The 20,884-nt window shown below is 42.7% G+C and overlaps 1 protein-coding gene and 1 long non-coding RNA gene across 2 annotated transcripts in view; one reads left to right on the top strand and one right to left on the bottom strand.

Annotated features, from left to right (window-relative positions):
* Positions 1–11: 11 nt before the first annotated feature.
* Positions 12–20,884, top strand: part of MINDY4B (MINDY family member 4B) — a 35,064-nt gene continuing 14,191 nt past the window's right edge. Inside the window, exons 1-8 of the mRNA NM_001351281.2 lie at positions 12–124; positions 362–389; positions 2,035–2,202; positions 11,146–11,265; positions 12,036–12,127; positions 14,348–14,513; positions 15,066–15,131; positions 20,013–20,083. Coding sequence (NP_001338210.2) covers positions 12–124; positions 362–389; positions 2,035–2,202; positions 11,146–11,265; positions 12,036–12,127; positions 14,348–14,513; positions 15,066–15,131; positions 20,013–20,083 — 824 coding nt within the window. The remainder of the gene's footprint in view (positions 125–361; positions 390–2,034; positions 2,203–11,145; positions 11,266–12,035; positions 12,128–14,347; positions 14,514–15,065; positions 15,132–20,012; positions 20,084–20,884) is intronic.
* On the bottom strand, positions 13,053–14,881 carry LOC124909446 (uncharacterized). The gene is made up of 2 exons (XR_007096131.1): positions 14,581–14,881; positions 13,053–13,405 (listed from the first exon to the last, which is right to left on the bottom strand). It is a non-coding gene; the product is annotated as an uncharacterized LOC124909446 (long non-coding RNA).

Raw genomic sequence — 20,884 nt, 5'->3', positions numbered from 1 at the left:
CCATTATCCAAATGGATATGGAGGTCTTGGGCCAGGAACAAAGCTCCGAACAGCTGGATTTAGAGGAGATCTCAAGGAAAATTTCATTCCTTGACAAATGGAGGGAAATCTTTAGTTATCACAGGTAAGGTGTTCTCATTCTCTCATTTCTTTAGAAACAAAGGAATTTTCCGTGTTTAAGTAATCAACTTATAAGCTTGCAACATGAGAAATTTCCTTTATAGATTTACCTTTAAAATGCTTCAGGCATAACTATTCGTGGACAGAGACTTCCCTAGCAAGGTTGGGGTTTGGGAGGTTTGTGGATGTGAGGTTTGAAGAGAGTGAGTAATTTACTTGATGTTTTCTCTTTCATTTAAAGGTTGGGAACCAATAATTCAACTCCTCAGGTAATTACTTTTCCCAAAGCCAGTGTGTTCTCCTTTAGTTGCTTCTTCAAACAATCACATTAACAGCATAATCTGCATTTATTCTTTGCACATAATGTCACTCAGGCACTGGCATTTAACGCGTGAAAACATAAAACTAGAAAGCCTGTCGAAGATTTTTTTCTTGTGCTTTTTTATGGATTTCTCTTTCTACTTCTAAGAGCTATGTTTGTATCATTAAGAGCATCATATGGTTATTATTTTAGGAAAAAAGGTAATATTAAAATCGAAAGTTCCCACATTTGTGAAATAACACTGGATTCTGACAACCAAGTGCTTCTGTGTCCCTGAAGAAAAGCAGTTTTGAAAATAGTTATCGTCTTTATTCAGCTTGTGAAAAATCATTTTCCTTTACCATTTTAAAATAAGAGAAAGATGACTGAATTCTGGTGCTAAAAAGGTATTTTAAAATCTGATATACAATATAAGATGAAAGATGTTTGTACCTCATGTAAACTGAAAAGGTTAGAAGGTAATGGACTTTGTATTTCAGGTATTACTTCAATCACTGAGCAAACACAGCATAAAATATTAAGGTGGTTTTCATGGTACTAGTATATATGATCAAGCAATTGAATCATTAATATTTTAACTATAATGCTAAAGCTTCTCGCCCCAAGTAGCCTATGATCAAAAGTCTTATTTATGCTAAAACTCTCTTAACCACAGTCTAAATTAGAATCAGAGCAATAATGCTTCTATTTTAGTCTTGGAAGTATTAAATGGAGATATCTATCATTTGGGGGGATAGAACATTCAAAAGATAAAACAATCTTTAAAAGAAAAAAAAGTCAAGTTATGCTTTACACACGGTGGGAAAAACCCATTGGCACAAATGTAAAGATTTTCCATTTGATTTACAAAATGCATCTTAGCTGATCAGTAGTCCGTGATTTGAATGCTGTGCTTCTGAGATAAGAAAGAATCTTTGCCTCTAGGAATACAGAAAAACTAAGAAGGTGGTTTCCCTCATGTTTCAGCCACCAATAGGACAGATTTGTTGCACAACATTAGTATATAAGCTAAGTAAATTTGAAGAAGAGCTGATGCTAACTTACAGTGACATGTCATGAGAATCAGTCAAGAAAAGCGAAAAGAAATTTTTTTAAAGGTAGACGGTGGATTTTTTTTAAGGAAAAAGAACGATTATACTCACTTGTTGGGGAGTAGGAATCTGAAAGAATTAAAAAGAGATAATCTGACTTCATTTATTGGCCAGTTAACAATGTAATGAGAAACACTTTGTGTAAACTGGAAAGATTCGTTCAAAGTTTATAAAATGTTGTCTTCTCAAAACAAGAGACAGTGACATTTACATTCTTCTCTAAACATAATTTCAAGTCAAGGTCTTGATGGCATTAATTATGTTTCCATAGTTACATTTAACCTCTCCAAGTCATATAAACCCTTATGAGAAACCCCTTTGACACAGACACTGGGATTTTTCTGCCTCTTTTATTGCTATTTATCACAATTTTCAGACGTCTTTAAAAGTGAGACAACATTTTCTGAACACTGGTATTTCAGAGAGAAAAAGAGAAAATTTAAAACAAGGTCATCACCAGCTCTGTTTGCTTTGTCTTTTGTGGGGGTGATATTTGCACAGAATCATGAAGGCAACCATACATCTGCTGATGAAAATGAAGATGGAACAGGACTATCTCAGCCCAAAGGACAAGGACATTTGCCATCAAGTGGCCTTTGTTCTATTCCCAACCCCTCTATCATCTCTTCAAAATTGGGTGGCTTTCCTATCTCCCTAGCAATGGCCACGGTAAGTATAGCTTGTCAATTAAACATGAAATGAAACGTAATCTTCCCAAAACAACAAGGCTGGGGAATCTTATCTCCTGCCATGTGAGAGTATATTGAAGATAAGACTACAGATGGTTGTTATTGGTAAAAGGAGAATATAATTAAAATGACTTATTTATGGTATTCTTCAAGGACACTTGTGGCAGTACAGCCCTTTCCTCCCAAACTCTGAGTCTCTCTTTATTCACTTCTTCAATTTGACAGTGAAATTTGAGGGAGTGAGTTACATTCAAATAACTCACTATAGAAGGTAGGATAGGACAGACTCTCTAAGTGGCAGACTGTGGAGCGCTGCAAATGCGTAAGACAATGTAGATGTGTAAGAAAGTACCCCACCTGTATGCATGCAGGAGGGAGAGAGCTGGGGAAACTTGTCAGGCCATGTCCTGGGCAGGTAGCTAATCTCAAGAAAGAAACAGTTTTCTGGGGCTACCAATTAATATGCAGATTTGAAAAGAACATGACATTTCAGGATCCAAATCACCAGGATCTGTAAGCTATTGGTCCCGGGGACCATTTGCTCAATTCAAGACTTCACCAGGGTGGGGGCAAGGGGCTGAGGCAGAGATCCAGCCAGGAGGCAAAACTAAAGGCATCTCATTGGGTCAAATAGGCCAAAGCTGGAGGTAGTGCCTTGGCAAATGTCCAAAGGACCAGCTGTCATGGTCAAAAAGATGCCATTGGAAACTTGGGAAGCAGAGGCAAGGGTCAAGCCAAGGTAAAAGTACCAGAGAGGCTGAGATGCCCCTCCCATTGGATTGCCCTCCAGTGTAGCCCTTGAAATCATAATGAAACTCGGGACTTCTCAAGACAATTTCCCCATCATCACCCTATCTTCTAAACCTCCACATTACATCCTAGAAGCTCAGGCAGGGACCTCTACTCAGGGCCTTAAGAATGAGAGTTGGAAGAGGGACCTTCTTCCTGAGGACATGCTGTCACACATGGATGTTTGTAGAAACAACCCAGGACCAGCCTAGGCATCTGGGCAAAGACCAGCAACACTGGCCCTGCAGTCAGGCCTGCCATGTACATCGAGTTGCACAGTTTGTGCACTGCACACAAGATCCCAGCTGAGAGGATGAGTGGGGACTAAAACTTCTTCCGGGGAAACCACATGAAGCCTAACACAGAGTTTCCGTCTGCTTTTTGAGAATGAAGGCTGGTGACCCTGACTGCGGTATTTCCAGCTTCGATATAACCTTTCCTTAAGCTCCCCGAGACAGGACACAATCAGATGCAGGGACCACACAGCCCCTGGATTCGTTTTTATCATACAAAACCTCCCAGGCTTCACCAAATAACTTTCTCCACCATCACACTTGCAGTACAGATGCACTGGGAGGCCTCACTTGCTCTTTCTCGTTGTCGAAAATCTATCTGCCTTGGCCGGGCATGGTGGCTCACATCTGGAATCCCAGCACTTTGGGAGGCTGAGGCAGGGGGATTGCTTCAGGCCAGGAGTTCAAGACCAGCCTGGCCAACATGGCAAAACCCCATCTCTACTAAAAGTACAAAAATTAGCCAGGCATGGTGGCACATCCTGTAGTCCCAGCTACTCAGGAAGCTGAGGCAGGAGAATCGCTTGAACCCAGGACGCAGAGGTTGCAGTTAGCCATGATCCCGCAACTGTACTCCAGCCTGGGCAACAGAGTGAGACTCTGTCAAAAAAAAAAAAAAAAAAAGAAAAGAAAAGAAAAGAAAGAAAATCTATCTGCCTCAATCCACCTTGCTTTCCTCTTTTTGCTCAGATGCCTGAAGCCACAGGAAGATGGGCAGGTATGCAGAGCTCCCGGAACACTGCACTCAGCTCACTGGCCTTCAAGCCTCTGGATGGAGCCTTAACTTGTATCTTATATAGATACTTAATCGCTGTCCTTTCAAGCAACGAAGATAGATAATATGTAATCCTTGCCAGGGCCCCCAGCCCTCAGTGATTCTGCTGCCTACACTGTGGTATAGACCAGAAGTTAGAGCAACTATCTGCATTTTACTTGACAAGGAAATGTTTTTAATGAAAAACTTTAATAAAAATGTATTCTTGGCTTCTGCAATGAATTTCTTTAGAGAATGTCATTTTAAAATTTACACGTATCTGAAAAATAGGCTACCTTTTATGTGAAAATGAGAGACAATTATGATTCTATATTGATACTTGCCTGTAAAAGAAGTAATTCCAGAAGGCTTCCTAAAACACAACAGTGGGTACAAGGGAGACGTGGATGGCAGGGAGTCTTCACCACATACCTTTTTGTCTCTCTGGATTTTGAACCACATGAATATACTATTTTTTAAACACACACACAAATTTTAAAAATAGAAAAAGCATTCACAGACATTTGCAAAATCTTCTAGTCTTTCTCTGTACTGGGGAGGCGAGAAACTCTGAGTCTGAATATTCCCACTTATCTACAAACACAAACATGAAGCAACTGGGGACCGCCCCATGACTATGCCAAGGTAATGTTCTCCCTTTGGAAAAAGCTAGGAGACAAAAGATTTAGAAATGAAGTTGATAGGGTGTTAAGAAAGTCCCAGAAATAGAGATAATTGATTTTTCTTTAAAAAAAAATAAATTTGGATTTATTCCCATTATATGGGCCAGATGATCATGAGTCCTTTAAATAGCAGTAGCATTAATTAAACACATCCTGGGAATTCAGGATGACAAGCTTGGGATTCTAAATATGCTTGTTCTAGGGAGGCAGTTTGGAAGCTTGACCAATTCTAATCGATGTTTCAGCAGTGCAGCCACCTGGCAAATTGTCAGAGCTATTGAATCCTAATACCACTCCAGAAATCCTTTTGTTGTCATTCTGCTATTCTTTTCTCTTCTCTGTTTGGATTACGGATGCATGGCATTTCCTGACATTGGCACACACTGTCTCTTTGCTGGGAATCTTCTCTGAAAGTGGAGGTTGGGTAAAGCACCCTACGCACCTTTGCTTTCCTTAGCTCTCCTGTTTCTCACCTTTTGCTGTCCTCTTTCCAATACTACAGCTTTCTTCCTTCCTCCAGCCTGACATCTTTGAACATATGTGTTGGAACAAACTCTGGCCAAGGCTGCTGGCTCAGGTGAAATCGTGGGAAAGGTGAGCATCGCCTCCAGGCTATTCCACCAGCCCCACCTAATGACCTTCCTTCTCTCCAGTGGCAGTTTCCCACCTTCTCCCACTCCCAGGCCCTTTTCTGGACTCAGCCTTGAACACATTTCTGTAGCTGCAATATCATCCAGAAGAATCATAGTAAAAATGTAATACCAAGAGACCAAAATATTCTGGAGAGACTCAAATGAATGAAGCTCTGAAATGGGATAATAGGCAGGGTGTGCTTTTTGGAAGGAAGCACAGCCGGGTGTCCCCCCATAAGGTCTAGCTCATAGATGGGTCTCGACAGGTGTGAGTTAATGAATTCAGTGCCTCTGGATAATCCTCTAGCGCACCTCAGACTAGAGTAGGGGTGTCCTTTGTGTGCCCCTCCAGATGCATGGTCCACTCTTCTCCGACCTACCCTCTGCCCAGTAGAGAGGCTGACCTGTAGCAAGACTGACCTCCATCAGCAGGGTGCCCCCCTCCTCTGGCTTCCTGTTGAGTTTGAGCAATGGGGAGCCCTGAAAGGAAACTGAAGGGAGGGAAGGGAAGTGAAGTCAGGTTGCTCGTGGCTAGCTGAGTCCCTCTCCTCTCATGGCAGTCCTCTCCCCAGGACTCTCTCCTTTCTGGTTCAAGTCACCATTCCTTTGTGTGCTCCTTCAGGTCTAGGGGTCATAATGACTTCCCACTGTTGCTGGGACACTGCATTAGCCATTGTGGTGTCCCCACACCGAGCCCACATCTTTATAAATAGTCTCTGTCTTAAATGTTCCTCAAATTAATTATCTGACTTGAGAATGCCATCTGTTTCCTGCTGGGACGCTGGCTGGTACAAGTTGAAAGGCTTGCATTTGGGTCCTGGCACTGCCATTTACTATATACATGACCTTACATGTGCCATTTAGCTGACCTAGGCCTCTAGTCCTTTCACTGTAAAATGAAAGAGCCAAATTAGAACTTTAAAACTTCAACAGATACCTATTTTGAGCCTACTACATACCAGGCACTATGCCAGATGCTAAGAAATTGATGGCAAACATGATAGAACCAAGAGTCTACTACTCTGTTAGTTGGTCTAGGATAGAAATGTCTTCTTAGAACATCTTGGAATCTCTGATTCCATGATGGTCTAGTAATTCATAAGGCAAGAAGAGATTTAGGGAAGGAGCTTTAAAGAGGATTAGTCTACCTCAAGTTAGGGGTGGGCAGGTGGTCACAGGGAAGCTCTAAACCCGGGACAAAGTACAAGGCAGTCAGGGTAAGAACATTAACCCTGTTGGAAAGAATGATTCAGGGCCTCTATCTTTGAATGTGTGTATAAAATGTGTGTGTCTAAATGATGATCACCATCACTGTCATCATAGCAATCAAATGGAACAAAGTGCCAGGAAAGAAAGGAATTCTTCACAAATATAGAATACTAGCAAAGCACAAAGAGAAAAACTATAAACCATGCTTGATTATGTTAATAATAATCATGGCAGCCACTTATGAGGACCATTTACCATCTGTTTCTAGTTACTAGACAGCACAACAGCACATGTAATTATGTGTCAGGTTAATCTCATTATAAATAATATCTGATATTGGAAAGTAAATGTTACACAAGTAAGTTGGGTCATCTTTGTCACACTGGCCAACGGGGCCTGGCCAGAGAGAACTGCAGCCCCTCTGTTTTTAGACCTCCTCAGAGGGACAGCTGGAGAGAGAAGCTTCTAAGTTGGAGGTGGGAACTGGCAACAGAAATAAGAGTGTGGTTTGGCTTGCAGAACTTTTAAAATTGAATTTAAATTCTAAGCCTTCTTAGTCTCAACGGTCTTAATCTTCCACATTTATACACAGCTTTTCCTCTCTTATTGCTGCCAGTCTCTGGTCTTTTTCCATCTGTGTTGGGACTTTCTTCCATACGGCACAAGATGTTCCTGCATAGACAGGCTGTGTTTTCACAAAGGTAATAACACCCTACATTTACTTAGCACTTATGGTTCCCAAAGCCCTTTGCCATGCTTCTCTTTCAACAATAGCCAGGATGTGGACCAAGCAGGGGTTACCCCATTTCTGGATAAGTAAATTAAGTCTTAGAGAGGTTCAGTAATTTGTCCAAGTTCACATGGTTGGTAAGGAGCAGAACTGGGGCTTCTTTGCCCTTGAGTTGGGAGCAGTCTTTCTGTGCTGTGCAATCTCAATGTCAGGGAAACATTTTCCATTAGTTTTCAATGCCTGTCCTGGGGATGTTCTGGGTCTAGGGCTCTCTTTGACCATAGCACACACCAAGTCTGTGTCTTCCAGAGCAGCCTCTGTGCCTGTTCGCTGCCTCTCCTTGAAGTGCTATTGCATTGAGACAGAGAACACATAGTTTTTCTTCAAGTGGGTCCTTGCTCACCCTGAAGTGCACCTGCCCCCTTTTCTCAGTAGAGACAACCTTTTCTTTTGAGGGTGGAAGTAGAGATGGCCGGGAAATAAATTCTAACCTTAAACCGGCCCCTGGGCCAACATAGGAAGAACATTACAGATGCATGCTTCTCCCACGTCTTTCCTTTTTAGAAACCAGTAGAGCCTACTCTCAGGGCCTGCTCCATGCACAGCTGGGAAGAGGCACCTCAGCTCTGGGCCCATTGAGCTCCACGCTCCGTTTGTCCACACTCTTTGACTGGCTGCAAGTGCCTGAATATGATATTCAAAGTTATCCAGGATCAGGCCCAGGGTACTTTGCAATCTGAGCTTCTACTCTTCTTCCTACCCCTTGGCCTACACACACACACACACACACACACACACACACACACACACACACACAGTTCCAGTCACATTGAACACTTACTCCTCATCTAGGGACACCCCAGGTACTGATGTGTGCATGTTTGTAGATCTTTCTCTCTGTCTAGTCTCCCCTCTGTTACAGGTAACAGGCTGGTGTGTGGCATGTTCCAGAGTGTGAGATGTGTGTCTGTGCTGGAGCAAGGGGTGCTTCTAGGGATATGGCATTAAGTAACGTGTTACATATCCTTGAGTTACCTAGTGAGAAAGTGATCCCCTTGTCCACTCTGACAGGTCAGAGAAAAGGACAGTACAGTAAAGGGCAGTACACATTCACACCTCTTTAATACTTCTTACCTCCCTTTTAAGGCCCAGTCAGAGCTTTCACAGGCAGCAGTTTCTAGCTGTAATTTGTAGCATTGTTTCATTTTCATTATATTTTTATCATGTGTGGCAAATGATTTTGATTTCCATTGAAGGAAGTTATGTAAAGTGTCCTTCTTAAATAAATAGATTCCAAGTTACAAAATGTGTCCCAAGCTGGTGAAAAGTATTAATTAGATAGATTTCACCCCCCTGCCACCTCCACCAGAACAGGTGCTGGTATCCATGGCTGAGACACTCACAGACGGTTCACATCACAGGACTTTTGTGCAGGCAACCCTCAGTACTGGCCAGGAGCCTGGTAGGCTTGCTAGGTGGCTAGATCCAGAAGAGAGATAACAATCACTGCAGCTCTCAGGAAGCCACATCCATAGGAAAAGGGGAGAGTACTATATCAAGGGAACGCCCCGTGGGACAAAAGAATCTGAACAACAGCCTTCAGCCCTAGACTTTCCTTCTGACAGAGCCTACCCAAATGAGAAAGAACAAGAAAACCAACTCTGGTAATATGGCAAAACAAGGTTTTTTAATGCCCCCCTTCCCCCACCAGAAAGTTACACTAGCTCACCAGCAATGGACCCAAACTGAGAATAAATCCCTGATTTACCTGAAAAAGGATTCAGGACGTTGGTTATTAAGCTAATCAGGGAGGCACCAGGGAAAGGTGAAGCCCAATGTAAGGAAATCCAAAAAAGGATATAAGAAGTGAAGGGAGAAATATTCAAGGAAAAAGATAACATAAATAAAAAACAATCAAAACTTCAAGAAACAGTGGACACACTTCTAGAAATGCAAAATGCTCTGGAAAGTCTCAGCAACAGAATTGAACAAGTAGAAGAAGGAAATTTGGAGCTCGAAGACAAGGTCTTCAAATTAACCCAATTCAACAAAGACAAAGAAAAAAGAATCCGAAAATATGAACAAAGCCTCCAAGAAGTCTGGGATTATGTTAAATGACCAAGCCTAAGAATAATCAGCATTCTTCTATTATTCTAAGAATAATCAGAAAGAAGAGGAATCTAAAAGTTTGGAAAACATATTTGGGGGAATAATAGAGGAAAACTTCCCCAGCCTTGCAAGAGACCTAGACATCAAAATACAAGAAGCACAAACACCTGGGAAATTCATTGCAAAAAAATCATCACCTAGGAACACTGTCATCAGGTTATCTAAAGTTAAGATGAAGGAAAGAATCTTAAGAGCTGTGAGACAAGGCCAGGTGTGGTGGCTCATGCCTGTAATCCCAGCACTTTGGGAGGCCAAGACCGGCAGATCACCTGAGGTCAGTAGTTCAAGAACAGGCTGGCCAACAGGGTGAAACCCTGTCTCTACTAAAAACACAAAAATGAGCCAGGTGTTGTGGCACACACCTATAATCCCAGCTACTCAGGAGACTGAGGCAGGAGAATCACTTGAACCCAGAGGCTGAGGTTGCAGTGAGCCAAGATCGTGACAGCGTACTCCAGCCTGGGCAGCAGAGCGAGACTCTGTCTCAAAACAAAACAAAACAAAAAAAAGAGCTGTGAGACCAAAGCACCAAGTAACCTATGAAGGAAAACCTATCATATTAACAGCAGATTTCTCAGCAGAAATCCTACAAGCTAGAACAGATTGGGGCCCTATCTTCAGCCTCCTGAAGTATTAATTAGATAATGGTTGGTATACAAAAATGATAGAAATCATAAGGATGATACTTACATGATTAAAGTAGGGCAGGTGTTAAGAGAATGGGTAAAAACCCAGCTGTGTCTACTAACTGGGTGAACAAAGGCAAATACTCTAACTTATTTGGGTCTCGGTTCCCTCATCTGGATAAAAGCTGGATAATAGCACCAACTGCATAAAATTAAATGAAGGGAATAAATGGGAAGCACTTATCCCAGAGCCTGGTTCATAGAAAATGCTCAGTAAATGCTAGATGCCATTGACCAGCCTCATTCAAATGCCAGTTCTTCCATGAAGCCTTCCTGAGTACTTCAGTCAGAAGTTCTCTCTCCTCCCTCTGTTTTCTCATAGTACTTTTTACTTATCTTATGGAAAGTCACATGTTCTGTCTTGTACATAGCTGTGGGGTGTTAGACTTTTTACATAACTATATCCCACACAAGATCGAGTACATGCTAAATGATCAATCAGTCTTTGATTTTGAATAGATTCCCTTTTTTTCATACATTTGGTTTATAAAAAGTCTTGTTCCCATTTTTCTGGGAAGCTGTAAAACATCCTCTTGAATCTCAACGTGCTGCAGAGTATAGGAAAACCTCAAAGACCCTGGGACAGAGAGAATGCTTGTTTAAATCGCTACTGTACCAGGCTGGAAACATGAGATCCTGACTGTTCCTTTTTTCTGGAGTGAGAGACAAAAGCTCAAAGATGGGAGAGGCAGGGGTTACAAGTCATGGGTATGGGGCAAGAGCTGTAGACACAGAGCAGCCACGGTGAACTGCAAAGTAGATGCCTGGCAAAGGAAGGAGAGACACGAGGGACAAACGTTGTCTAGACATCTTCTGCTCAGGAGTTCAGACAATTAAAATCAGGGACTAGAGTAATATGTAAACCTGAATGTAGAAGGGAACGAGGCCCACCTCCTTGAGGTGGCCATGAGGCCACCATGAGGAATATGTCTAGGAAGAATTCTCTTTTGTTGAATCATTTCTTTCCCCTCTTTTCAGAAGCTGCGGCAGATCCTGTTTGGAAACACAGTCCATGTCTTTAGCTATAACTGGAAAAAGGCCTATTTCAGGTTCCATGATCCTTCTTCTGAACTAGCTTTCACTCTGGAAGTGGGAAAGGTAATAGCCAGTTTATAATTTTTAAAAAACCTTATTCCCATGTTCCTTATCCATATATCCTTCCTGTCCACATCCATGTAAATGCATGTCTTCATTATAATCATGTGTAGAAATATATTTATAATGTAAAGTTTAACCTTAAATGATAACAGACTATTTAAAATTACTTTGTAACAAATCTAAAAATCTGATATGGGCTGGGTGCAGTGGCTCACACCTGTAATCCCAGCTGTTTGGGAGGCTGAGGCAGGTGGATCACCTGAAGTCAGGAGTTCAAGATCAGCCTGGCCAACATGGTGAAACCCTGTCTCCTCTAAAAATACAAAAATTAGCTGGGTATGGTGGTGCACACCTGTAATCCTAGCTACTCGGGAGGCTAAGGTAGGAGAATTGCTTGAACCCAGGGGGTGGAAGTTGCAGTGAGATGAGGGCAGGCCACTGCACTCCAGCCTGGGAGACAGAGCAAGACTGCACCCCACCCCCCCCCCCAAAAAAAAACTACTATGAAGCAGGGACATGGTGAAGGCAAGATGGAGGAAGCCATACATCCCCAGTCACCAGTCCACAGGTCTCCACAAAGATGCTAGGCATTGCAGAATCCAGCCCAGCCACAGCACCAGCCACGGCTGCAGGGAGGAGTGGCACAAATATAGCATGGTGTCCCTTCACAAAGCTCTGGGGGATACCAGGAGGGAAAAGCCTGCAGAGAAGAATAGATAACATTAATTTCCAAGAGTTCTTCACCTCGTCATTCATTCTCCTCATTTCAGGGAGGGGCCCGAAGCATTCAGATGGCTGTGCAAGGATCCATCATCAAATACTTGTTGTTTACCAGGAAAGGAAAAGACTGTAACCTTGGCAAGTAAGAGGACTGTGAGAAGTACTTGAATTACCCATTTCACTAGAATCTTGATATGCTAAATAATCATAACTGAAAAATTCAGGTTGTCTCAGAAAGGAAATCTACCTCCTAAGACAGAAATGGCCCTGTCTGTCCCAGAGAGGCTGGATTCTGCCACTGGGAAGGGCTCTGCTGGAGTCATTCTGAATGTTCATTTGCAGGGATAATGTTGACAGGTTTTATGCTCTACTGCAGACCACTCTGTCAGGTAGAATTAAGCAGCAGGTCTCAGGTGGGCCTACTTGTCCATATTTGATGGAAAGCTCTAACCTAATAATTAGGGAGGAACAAAGGGGTGATATAAAAACCCCATAAATGATCAATCCTCCATTTTTTTTTTTTTTGCAACAAAGTCTCACTCTTGTCCCCAAGGCTGGAGTGCAATGGCATGATCTCGGCTCACTGCAACCTCCGCCTCCCAGGTTCAAGTGATTCTCCTGCCTCGGCCTCCTGAGTAGCTGGGATTACACCCGGCTAATTTTTTGTATTTTTTTTTTTTTTTAGTAGAGCTAGGGTTTCACCATGTTGGCCAGGCTGGTCTCGAACTCCTGACCTCAGGTGATTTGCCTACCTCGGCCTCCCAAAGTGCTGAGATTATAGGCGTGAGCCACTGCACCCGGCCAATCCTCCTATTTAACCAGGCTGATAAGGTATGATGTTTGGTTTTTGCCTATTTTTAAAGATCAGCTCAAGTTTATTCAAATTACTTTATTCCTAGAAGTTAACAAACCCCTATCATGTGCAAAGCCCTGTGCTAAATATTAGAGGAAATATAAATACTTCTGCCCTCAGGCAGGTAAAGTTATTACCCCCAAAGAGGAACTAAATATATAATATATTCTAAGATTGTGAACTGCCAGTTTCCCTAGAAGCAGAGCCCATGATGTGGATTCTTGACGCAAGTGATTTATTAAGGGAGTGCCCTCAGGAGAAAACCATAAGGGAGTGAGGGAAGCAGGACAGGGAAGGAGAAGCTGAGGAAGACTGTGGCTTCCAGCAATGTCAGTCTGATGCCATGGGAGCTCGGGTGCATGGATTGCACTGCGGAGCCTGCCCCATCTTCAGATGAGGGAGCAGGGCTTCTGTACCTCTTGCTCCAATGAGGCACTGGCTGTGGGCCATCCTTAGGGAGGAGGCATAACTCCCAGTGACTTCTGGGCAAGGTGGCTTCAATCCTTCAGAGAAAGTAGAAAAATGGGAGCCACGGTATCCAAAGTAGCTGGAGGATGAGTCCATCTCCTAAGTAAAATGGATCACAGGGAATTCAAATGGAACACATATATTTGCCACATAAAGGTAAGGCACTTAGCACAGCACTGTACTTGGCCTATGGCAAATATTAAATAAATGTGAACAAGTAACTACGTCTGTAGACACACTGCACGAAGCCTTCCTGAGCCCCCCAGTCACAAGGTGTCTCTATTTCCCGTGTTTTCTCATAGCACTCTGTTATTCTCATTCTATCTTGCCATATGGTTTTGGAGTATTAGGCTCCTTGACTTTTTTTTTTTTTTTTTTTTTTTGAGATGGAGTCTCACTCTGTCACCCAGGCTGGAGTACAATGGCATGATCTCGGCTCACTGCAACCTCTGACTCCCGGGTTCAAACCATTCTCCTGCCTCAGCCTCCCAAGTAGCTGGGACTACAGGCGCCTGCCACCATGCCCAGCTAATTTTTATATTTTAAGTATAGAAGGGGTTTCGCCATGTTGGCCAAGCTGGTCTTGAACTCCTGACCTCAAGTTATCCACCTGCCTCAGCCTCCTAAAGTACTGGGATTACAGGCATGAGCCACGGTGCCTGACCTTTTGTTACTCATTTCTGTATCACCACAGAGCTAGACGGATTGTATAAATCATTGCTGAGTTAATTAATAAATCTTTATCGCGTGTTTCTTTATAAAGACTATAGTTCTCAATGTTAAATGTTTGGGAAATAAGCAGAGTAAAGGTCTCCCACTGTGTAAAGACTGGCTCCCACTTCTTGGGAAGGCTAGACAGACCCTGAGTGTATTCAATGCAGTATAAAAGTCAAGGGCAGGAACTTTGGAGCCAGGTGAGCTGGGTGTAAATCGCTGCTCTCTGACTTTGAAGGTCAATGACCAGGAGCAAATTACTTCCCATCTCTGTGGCTAGGTGATGTTCATTCCAATGGTTTCCTACTCCTGCCTTCTGCATTATAGCTTATGTGAAATAAGCAAGAAGGAGCAGGAGCAAGCCTTGGCCGCGGCGCTTGCTGGCATCCTGTGGGCTGCAGGAGCAGCTCAGAAGGCCACCATCTGTCTTGTCACTGAGGACATTTACGTTGCGTCGACTCCGGACTACTCTGTGGACAATTTCACTGAGCGAGTAAGTGCAGTTCTCCCTGTCCTGGCAGATGAAAGGCCAGTGAAGCCTGAGCATGTAATAGACTTACCATGTGTATGCAGGTGGGGCCCCATCCATGCTCCTGATGTGACCGGAGGTGCCTTCCAAAGAGGCAGGTACCAAGGGCTGTAAGTGATCCAAGCAGACACAACAAAGAGTCCTGTTTTAAATTCCTGCTATGGAATTCACCAGGACCAAGAATATCTCCCATCTGAAATAATCATAAATGATATTTCCATATCCACTGTCCGAAAGACAGCTAAATTTCACCTATTAGGAAAAAATCTCTTTCTAGTTTTACTGCTCAAGATATTACATGATTTTAAACTGAGGAATGTAGAAGTGATGCTGGTAGCTACCCAGTTGCACTGTTTATGTTTTGCATGGCCTTGCATAAGATAGTATGTCAGTTTTTAGTAATGTGATTATGCAATGAAACAAAAAACCCACTTGTGGTAATAACAGTGAGTTGACATCTCTTAGATGTAACTTTCATCTTCCTTTTCATTTTTATCTTCTGTTCCTGATTTATAGCTCCAGCTGTTTGAATTTTTAGAGAAAGAAGCCGCTGAGAAATTCATCTACGATCACTTACTATGTGTAAGTGTTTAAGTGTTGAGATAATTCCTTTATGTTGACTGATCTTACAGGGATCTTCTTCCTTTTACAAAGTCTATTTCTAATGATGCCTGTTAAGAAAACCAGGTCATTTTGAGGGCTAAGAAAGGGCAGAATGAGAGAACAAAAAAGATCTGCCTCTTCCTCCTCACAACCTAGAAAGAGGCCAGATCACACACAGACCCACTCACGAATGCATCTTTTTCTTTGGTTAATCAAGACCAGAGAATAATCCATTAGAGAGTATATACCAGTATTTCTTTTGTGGCAAGCAATCCTGTCTCATCTAATGAATAAAAAACAAAATGGTGAAAAAATAAAATAAAATAAGGTTCTTGTCTAAGCTGCCAAAATGACCATTCACATTGACTCCAAGTAATTGGCTTCTTGAAAAGGTCCTGTTTCACCTGTCTATCAGCACCTTCCACACAATGCCCTCCACTGCAGTGATTCTTCCCTACCCCCAGGGTGGAAAGGGGACAAAGAAGGGTGCAGTGATGGTAGAAAATGGAAGACATTTTTAAGACTCTTCTGTGTAGAAAGAAATAAAAGCTGATTTTCCGAAAAATCAGAAACCTACAATGTGAAAGCAGAGGGAAATTAGCAGGATAACCATGAAGTGATACAACTGTTCATTGCATGGAGCAGGGAAATGTGATCTCATGTCTGTTGAATGAGTTAAACAAGGTCTGTTGTTAACTTGTGTGATAGGCAGAGGACTAGTCCCCCTAAAGAAGTCCAAACTCTATACCCGGAACTTGTAAATATATTACACTATATGGCAAAGGGATATTAAGGTTGTTAGTCAGCTGACTTTAAAATAGGGGAAGGATCCTGGATGACCCAGGTGGGCCCGGTGGAATCACAAGGGTCATTAATATGGAAGAGGAAGCAAAAGAGGAAGTCAGAGAGAAGTGATAGGAGAAGAGTGCCCCCTGCCCTTGCGGGCTTGGATCCGCTTCGATGATGGAAGAGAAGAGCCATGAACCAAGGAATGTGGGCAGGGCCTTTAGAAACTGGTAAGGACTAGGAAACAGATTCTTCTCTCGCGTTGCTAGAAGGGAAGCTGCCCTGCTGACATCTTGATTTTAGCTCATTAAAACCCACTTCAGACTTCTGACTTCTAGAACTGTAAGATCATAAATCTGTAGTGTTTAAGCTATTAAATTTATGGTAATTTGTTACAGCAGCAATATGAGCCTAGTAAAACCTGTATGATAGATTTTAAGTACCTGACGTGAAATGTTGAGCTAGAAGCCTGCTTAGGGATTCTTTGTTGTGGGCAAGAGACATTGAATGGGATTACACAGATATAGAGGATCCATTTAAGAAATGACCCTTTCAGCAAAAACAGGCAAACCCCTCCCCTCCCTGTCTTCCATCTCAACTCAAATCTGGGAGAGTCTTATGCCATAGGAAGAACCCCCTCCACCCACCCATATCTGCAAGAAATTCTTAAACGTAGCCACGGTTGAGATCAGAGGATCAGAGCTGAAGCTATACACAGGCTTCCCCAGTCAAAGACTAAGGGTTGAGCTGGAATAATCAAGGCCCTACACAGAAGTGGACTCTGCAACACAGGTGGGCTTGGCATGAGAGCTAAACATTACCTTAGCCACACTAGGGAAGGGCTGGTGCCATTTCCTGAGTGAGGGGAGCTTGATGGTGTATATATATTCCTCTCAAGGACCTCACTGAGACGGGGTTGCACATTGTGATCAGCACCCCATCCAGAACTTTACCAATCCCCCATCAACTATCAAAATGCATCAATCCTGTGTCTCATTCCATTTGGCAGAGATCTCAAGATGGAGGTCTGAGGGCTCCATGTGAGCAGCAGATCTTTTGTTATGGGTTGAACTGTGTCCCTCCAAAATGATATGTTGAAGTTCTGACCCCCTCCCCTGGTACCTGTGAATATGGATCTTATTGAAAATAAAGTCTTTTAGATGTAATCAAGTTGAGATGAGGCCAGACTCAGTTAGGTTGGGCCCTAATCCAGTGGCTGGTATCTTTTACAAGAGAAGGAAAAATTTGAACACATGGAAGAACACCATGTGATAATGGAAGCTGGGACCAGAGTGATGCTTCTCCAAGCCAAGGAATGGCGGCAACCACCAGAAACCAGGAATATGCAAGGAAGGATTCTCCCCGAGGGCCTTCAGAGAGAGCATGGCCCTACTCTTTTGTTTTTTGAGACGGAATCTTGCTCCGGCTCCCGGGCTGGAGTACAGTGGTGCGATCTCGGCTCACTGCAACCTCCGCCTCCCGGGTTCATGCCATTCTCCTGCCTCAGCCTCCGAGTAGCTGGGACTACAGGCGCCCGCCACCACGCCTGGCTAATTTTTTGTATTTTTAGTAGAGACGGGGTTTCACCATGTCAGCCAGGATGGTCTCGATCTCCTGACCTCGTGATCCGCCCGCCTCAACCTCCCAAAGTGCTGGGATTACAGGCGTGAGCCACCGCGCCTGGCAATGGCCCTACTCTTACACCTTGATTTCAGACTTCTAGCTTCCCAAACTGTGAGAGAATACATTCCTATTGTTTTAACCTTTCGATTTTCTGTAATCTTTTATGGCAACCCCAGGAAACAAACACACCTGTCATATGAGATCTGCAGCATTAGCCTACAGTGTTGCTTTTTACAAATTTGAATCAGTGAATGTCAGAAGTATTCAGGAAATTCCACATAAAAACCTAGATTTTTGGCTTTTATCAAAAAATCAGAAAATCTGGCTACACAGGGCCTATATTCTTGAATGTCCTCAATTAGCTGACATAAGAGGCAGCTACCCTCATTAGACAAGTTTTGATAGACTGAATGATGTCCACATCCTAATCCCAGAAACATATTAATACAGTAGTCCCTCTTTATTCTTGGTTTTGCTTTCTGCTGGTTCCATTACCCTGGTCAACTATGGTCCAAAAATATTAAATAGAAAATTCCAGAAATAAGCAATTCATACATTTTAAATTGCATGCTATTCTGAGCAGTGTGATGGAATATCTCACCATCTCACTCCATCCCACCAGGGATGTGAATAATCCCTTTGTCCAGTGGATCCACACTGTAGACGCTCCATACCCATTAGTCACTCAGTAGCCTTCTCTGTTATCAGACAGTCAGGTTGTGGTACTGCAATGCCTGTGTTTCGTAACCCTTATTTTACTTAATAATGACACCCAAACACAAGAATAGTGCTCCTGGTATAGTGCTATAAATGTTCTACACTATTATTATTGTTGTTAATCTATTACTGTGCCTAATGTAAAACTTTTTCATAGGTATGTATATATAGGAAGAAACATCATATATACAGGATTTGGTACTATCTGTAGTTTCAGGCATCCACTGGATAATGGAACTTATCACCCATGGATAAGGGAGACTACTGTTATGTTACCTAACTGATTGAAGGGATTTGCAGATGATCAAGTTAAAGATCTTGAGAGTGGGTGGGGGACATTATCCTGGATTATCCAGATGGGCTCAATTAATCAAAAGGGTCTTTATAAGGGAAAGCGGGAGGCAGGAGAGTCAGAGAAATGTGACCAGGGAAGCAGAGGGAGGAGGGTTATGTGATGTGGGGCCACTAGCCAAGGAATGAGGGTGACTTCTAGAAGCTGGAAAAGGAAAGGAAACAGAATTACCCCAAAAGCTTCCAGAAGGAATACTGGTTTGTGAGCACTTTGACTTTAGCACAGTGAGACCCATATTGGACTTTTAACCTCCAGAACGGTGAGATAATAAATTCGTGTTGTTTTAAGCCACCAAGCCTGTGGCACTTTGTTACAGCAGCAATAGGAAACCTATATATAAAAGCATCTGTTTGCATCAGGCCTCACCCCTCCCCATTTCTCTCACTCATTTCAGTAACTATCTGGCTCCTATGGCACTGGAATTTATTCTGCTACCTGAGGGCCCTGGCCCCTGTCAGGTCACACATAGCAAAACGGATACATTAATCCATAAAGGGAAAAGCATATGCATTTTAGCAAAAGTCTCCGTAAAGAAGACTTTGAAGATGTTTTAACTCTGCACCTAGAAAGCCAGCCAGGGAAGCTATTCTACTTGTCAGCAAGTAGAGTGTTGTCATCAAGCTAAATAAAGCCAACTGATGAGAAGCCCTGAATGTTTATTAGGTAGTTTAGATTTGATCCTAGAGATTGCAAGGCACCTTCAGAAAATTCTAAGCAGAAAAGAAACCTGTCCAAGAAAAGACAGGGGAGAAGTGCATTAGAGAGGGACACATATTAATTTTGCTGTGGATCTAGCATATTCCAAGAACCAAGGAAGGTTCAAATAATTAATTACTTCATTTAACTTTTGCAATAAACCTGGAGAAAAGTTCTTTTTATCCTTGATTGTGGATTGGATTGAAACTCAAAGAAGTTAGTAAGTAGGAGTTAGAAAGCAGTAGAACCGAGGTGTATAACTCCAAAGCGAGTTCTACAAAGCCTCTCTGATCTCCCTCAGTTTAACGGGGCAATGAGGAAGGACATGAGGAGAGAAGAGGCTGGATAAGGAGAGGGCAGCCAAGGGCAGCAAAGAGCAGCAGTGAAGTGGGCTAGAAAGGACATACTACACCTTGGCCAAGGTTTGAAGAGAATCACATGGTAGAAGTGCAGGACAAAAAGATAAGGTGAGGGCCAAGAGAATGACAGCACCATTGACAGGCATGAAGCAGGGAAAGAGAACAAATTTTAGAGTAGGAAGACTTATGGAGGCAGAGGAGCTCATTCCTTTCAGCAGCCAGGGGGAAAAAATTCTCTCAGCCTGTAAATCCTTGAATTCATACCCACAGATACACGTGTCTGTGTTGCTTTTAGACCAACATGCTTTTCTTTTCTTTTCCGAACAGTTCAGAGGGGAAGGAAGCCATGGTGTCATCCTGTTTCTGTACAGCCTGATCTTCTCTAGAACATTTGAAAGGTAAATTCTACAGATGTTTACACAGGTATTTTCTATAGGATTGGGATCACATAAACAATGTACTCTTGTATTGAAAAATCTCCATATTGGAAACATGAATGCAATGTTTTTTTCTAGTAGATTCTCTTTTGTTGACACGTCCTTTCCTACAGTTGGTTTGGCCATCTTAATGGGCAAGTGGATGTCGTCAGTCAAGTTTGAATCTGTTCTTACAATACCCTAGTAGGTTCCTCCTTCTTGTGGCTGTAAATATTGGTGGACAACACCAAAGCTTGTTTGTACAAGTTTCATAAATAAATACATTTTATTATTTAGATCCATGATAAGGTATATCCTCAAATATGTATTTTGTCTCTATGATATGCAAAACTCTGTTCTTGGCACAGTGGAAAGTACAAAGAAGAGAAGATATGGCCCTGTCCTCCTGCAGAGTCCAGGCTGGGAAAGACAAGGGGTGTACACAGAGATGCTGGGCAAGTCCCAGGAGGTATCTGATGTGCCAAATGAGATGTAAAGAGAATGAGTCTCAGTGGGCTCCAGAGGAGGAAGGGGCCTCTGCTGACAGGGTGGTCAGGGAAGGCTTCAGGAAAGAAATGGACTTTCTTCTGAACCTTGAAAGAAAGGTAAACTTTGGAGAGTCAGAAATAGAGGTCTCTCAGGAGGGAAGGATTACAACCCTGCGGCAGTGGTCCTGAAGCTTGTCTTTTATATACCGCCATCACATTTTATGCTGTATGTTATCATTCACTTAACATTAAAAATAAAATCAATACACATTTAAATATCAAGCTCTTCCTAAAC

Source organism: Homo sapiens, chromosome 3 (assembly GCF_000001405.40).
Source record: "Homo sapiens chromosome 3, GRCh38.p14 Primary Assembly".
NCBI classification, from domain to species: Eukaryota; Metazoa; Chordata; class Mammalia; order Primates; family Hominidae; genus Homo; species Homo sapiens.
The sequence above is the reverse complement of the archived record's forward strand: the minus strand, read 5'-3'. Positions and strand labels throughout refer to the sequence as shown.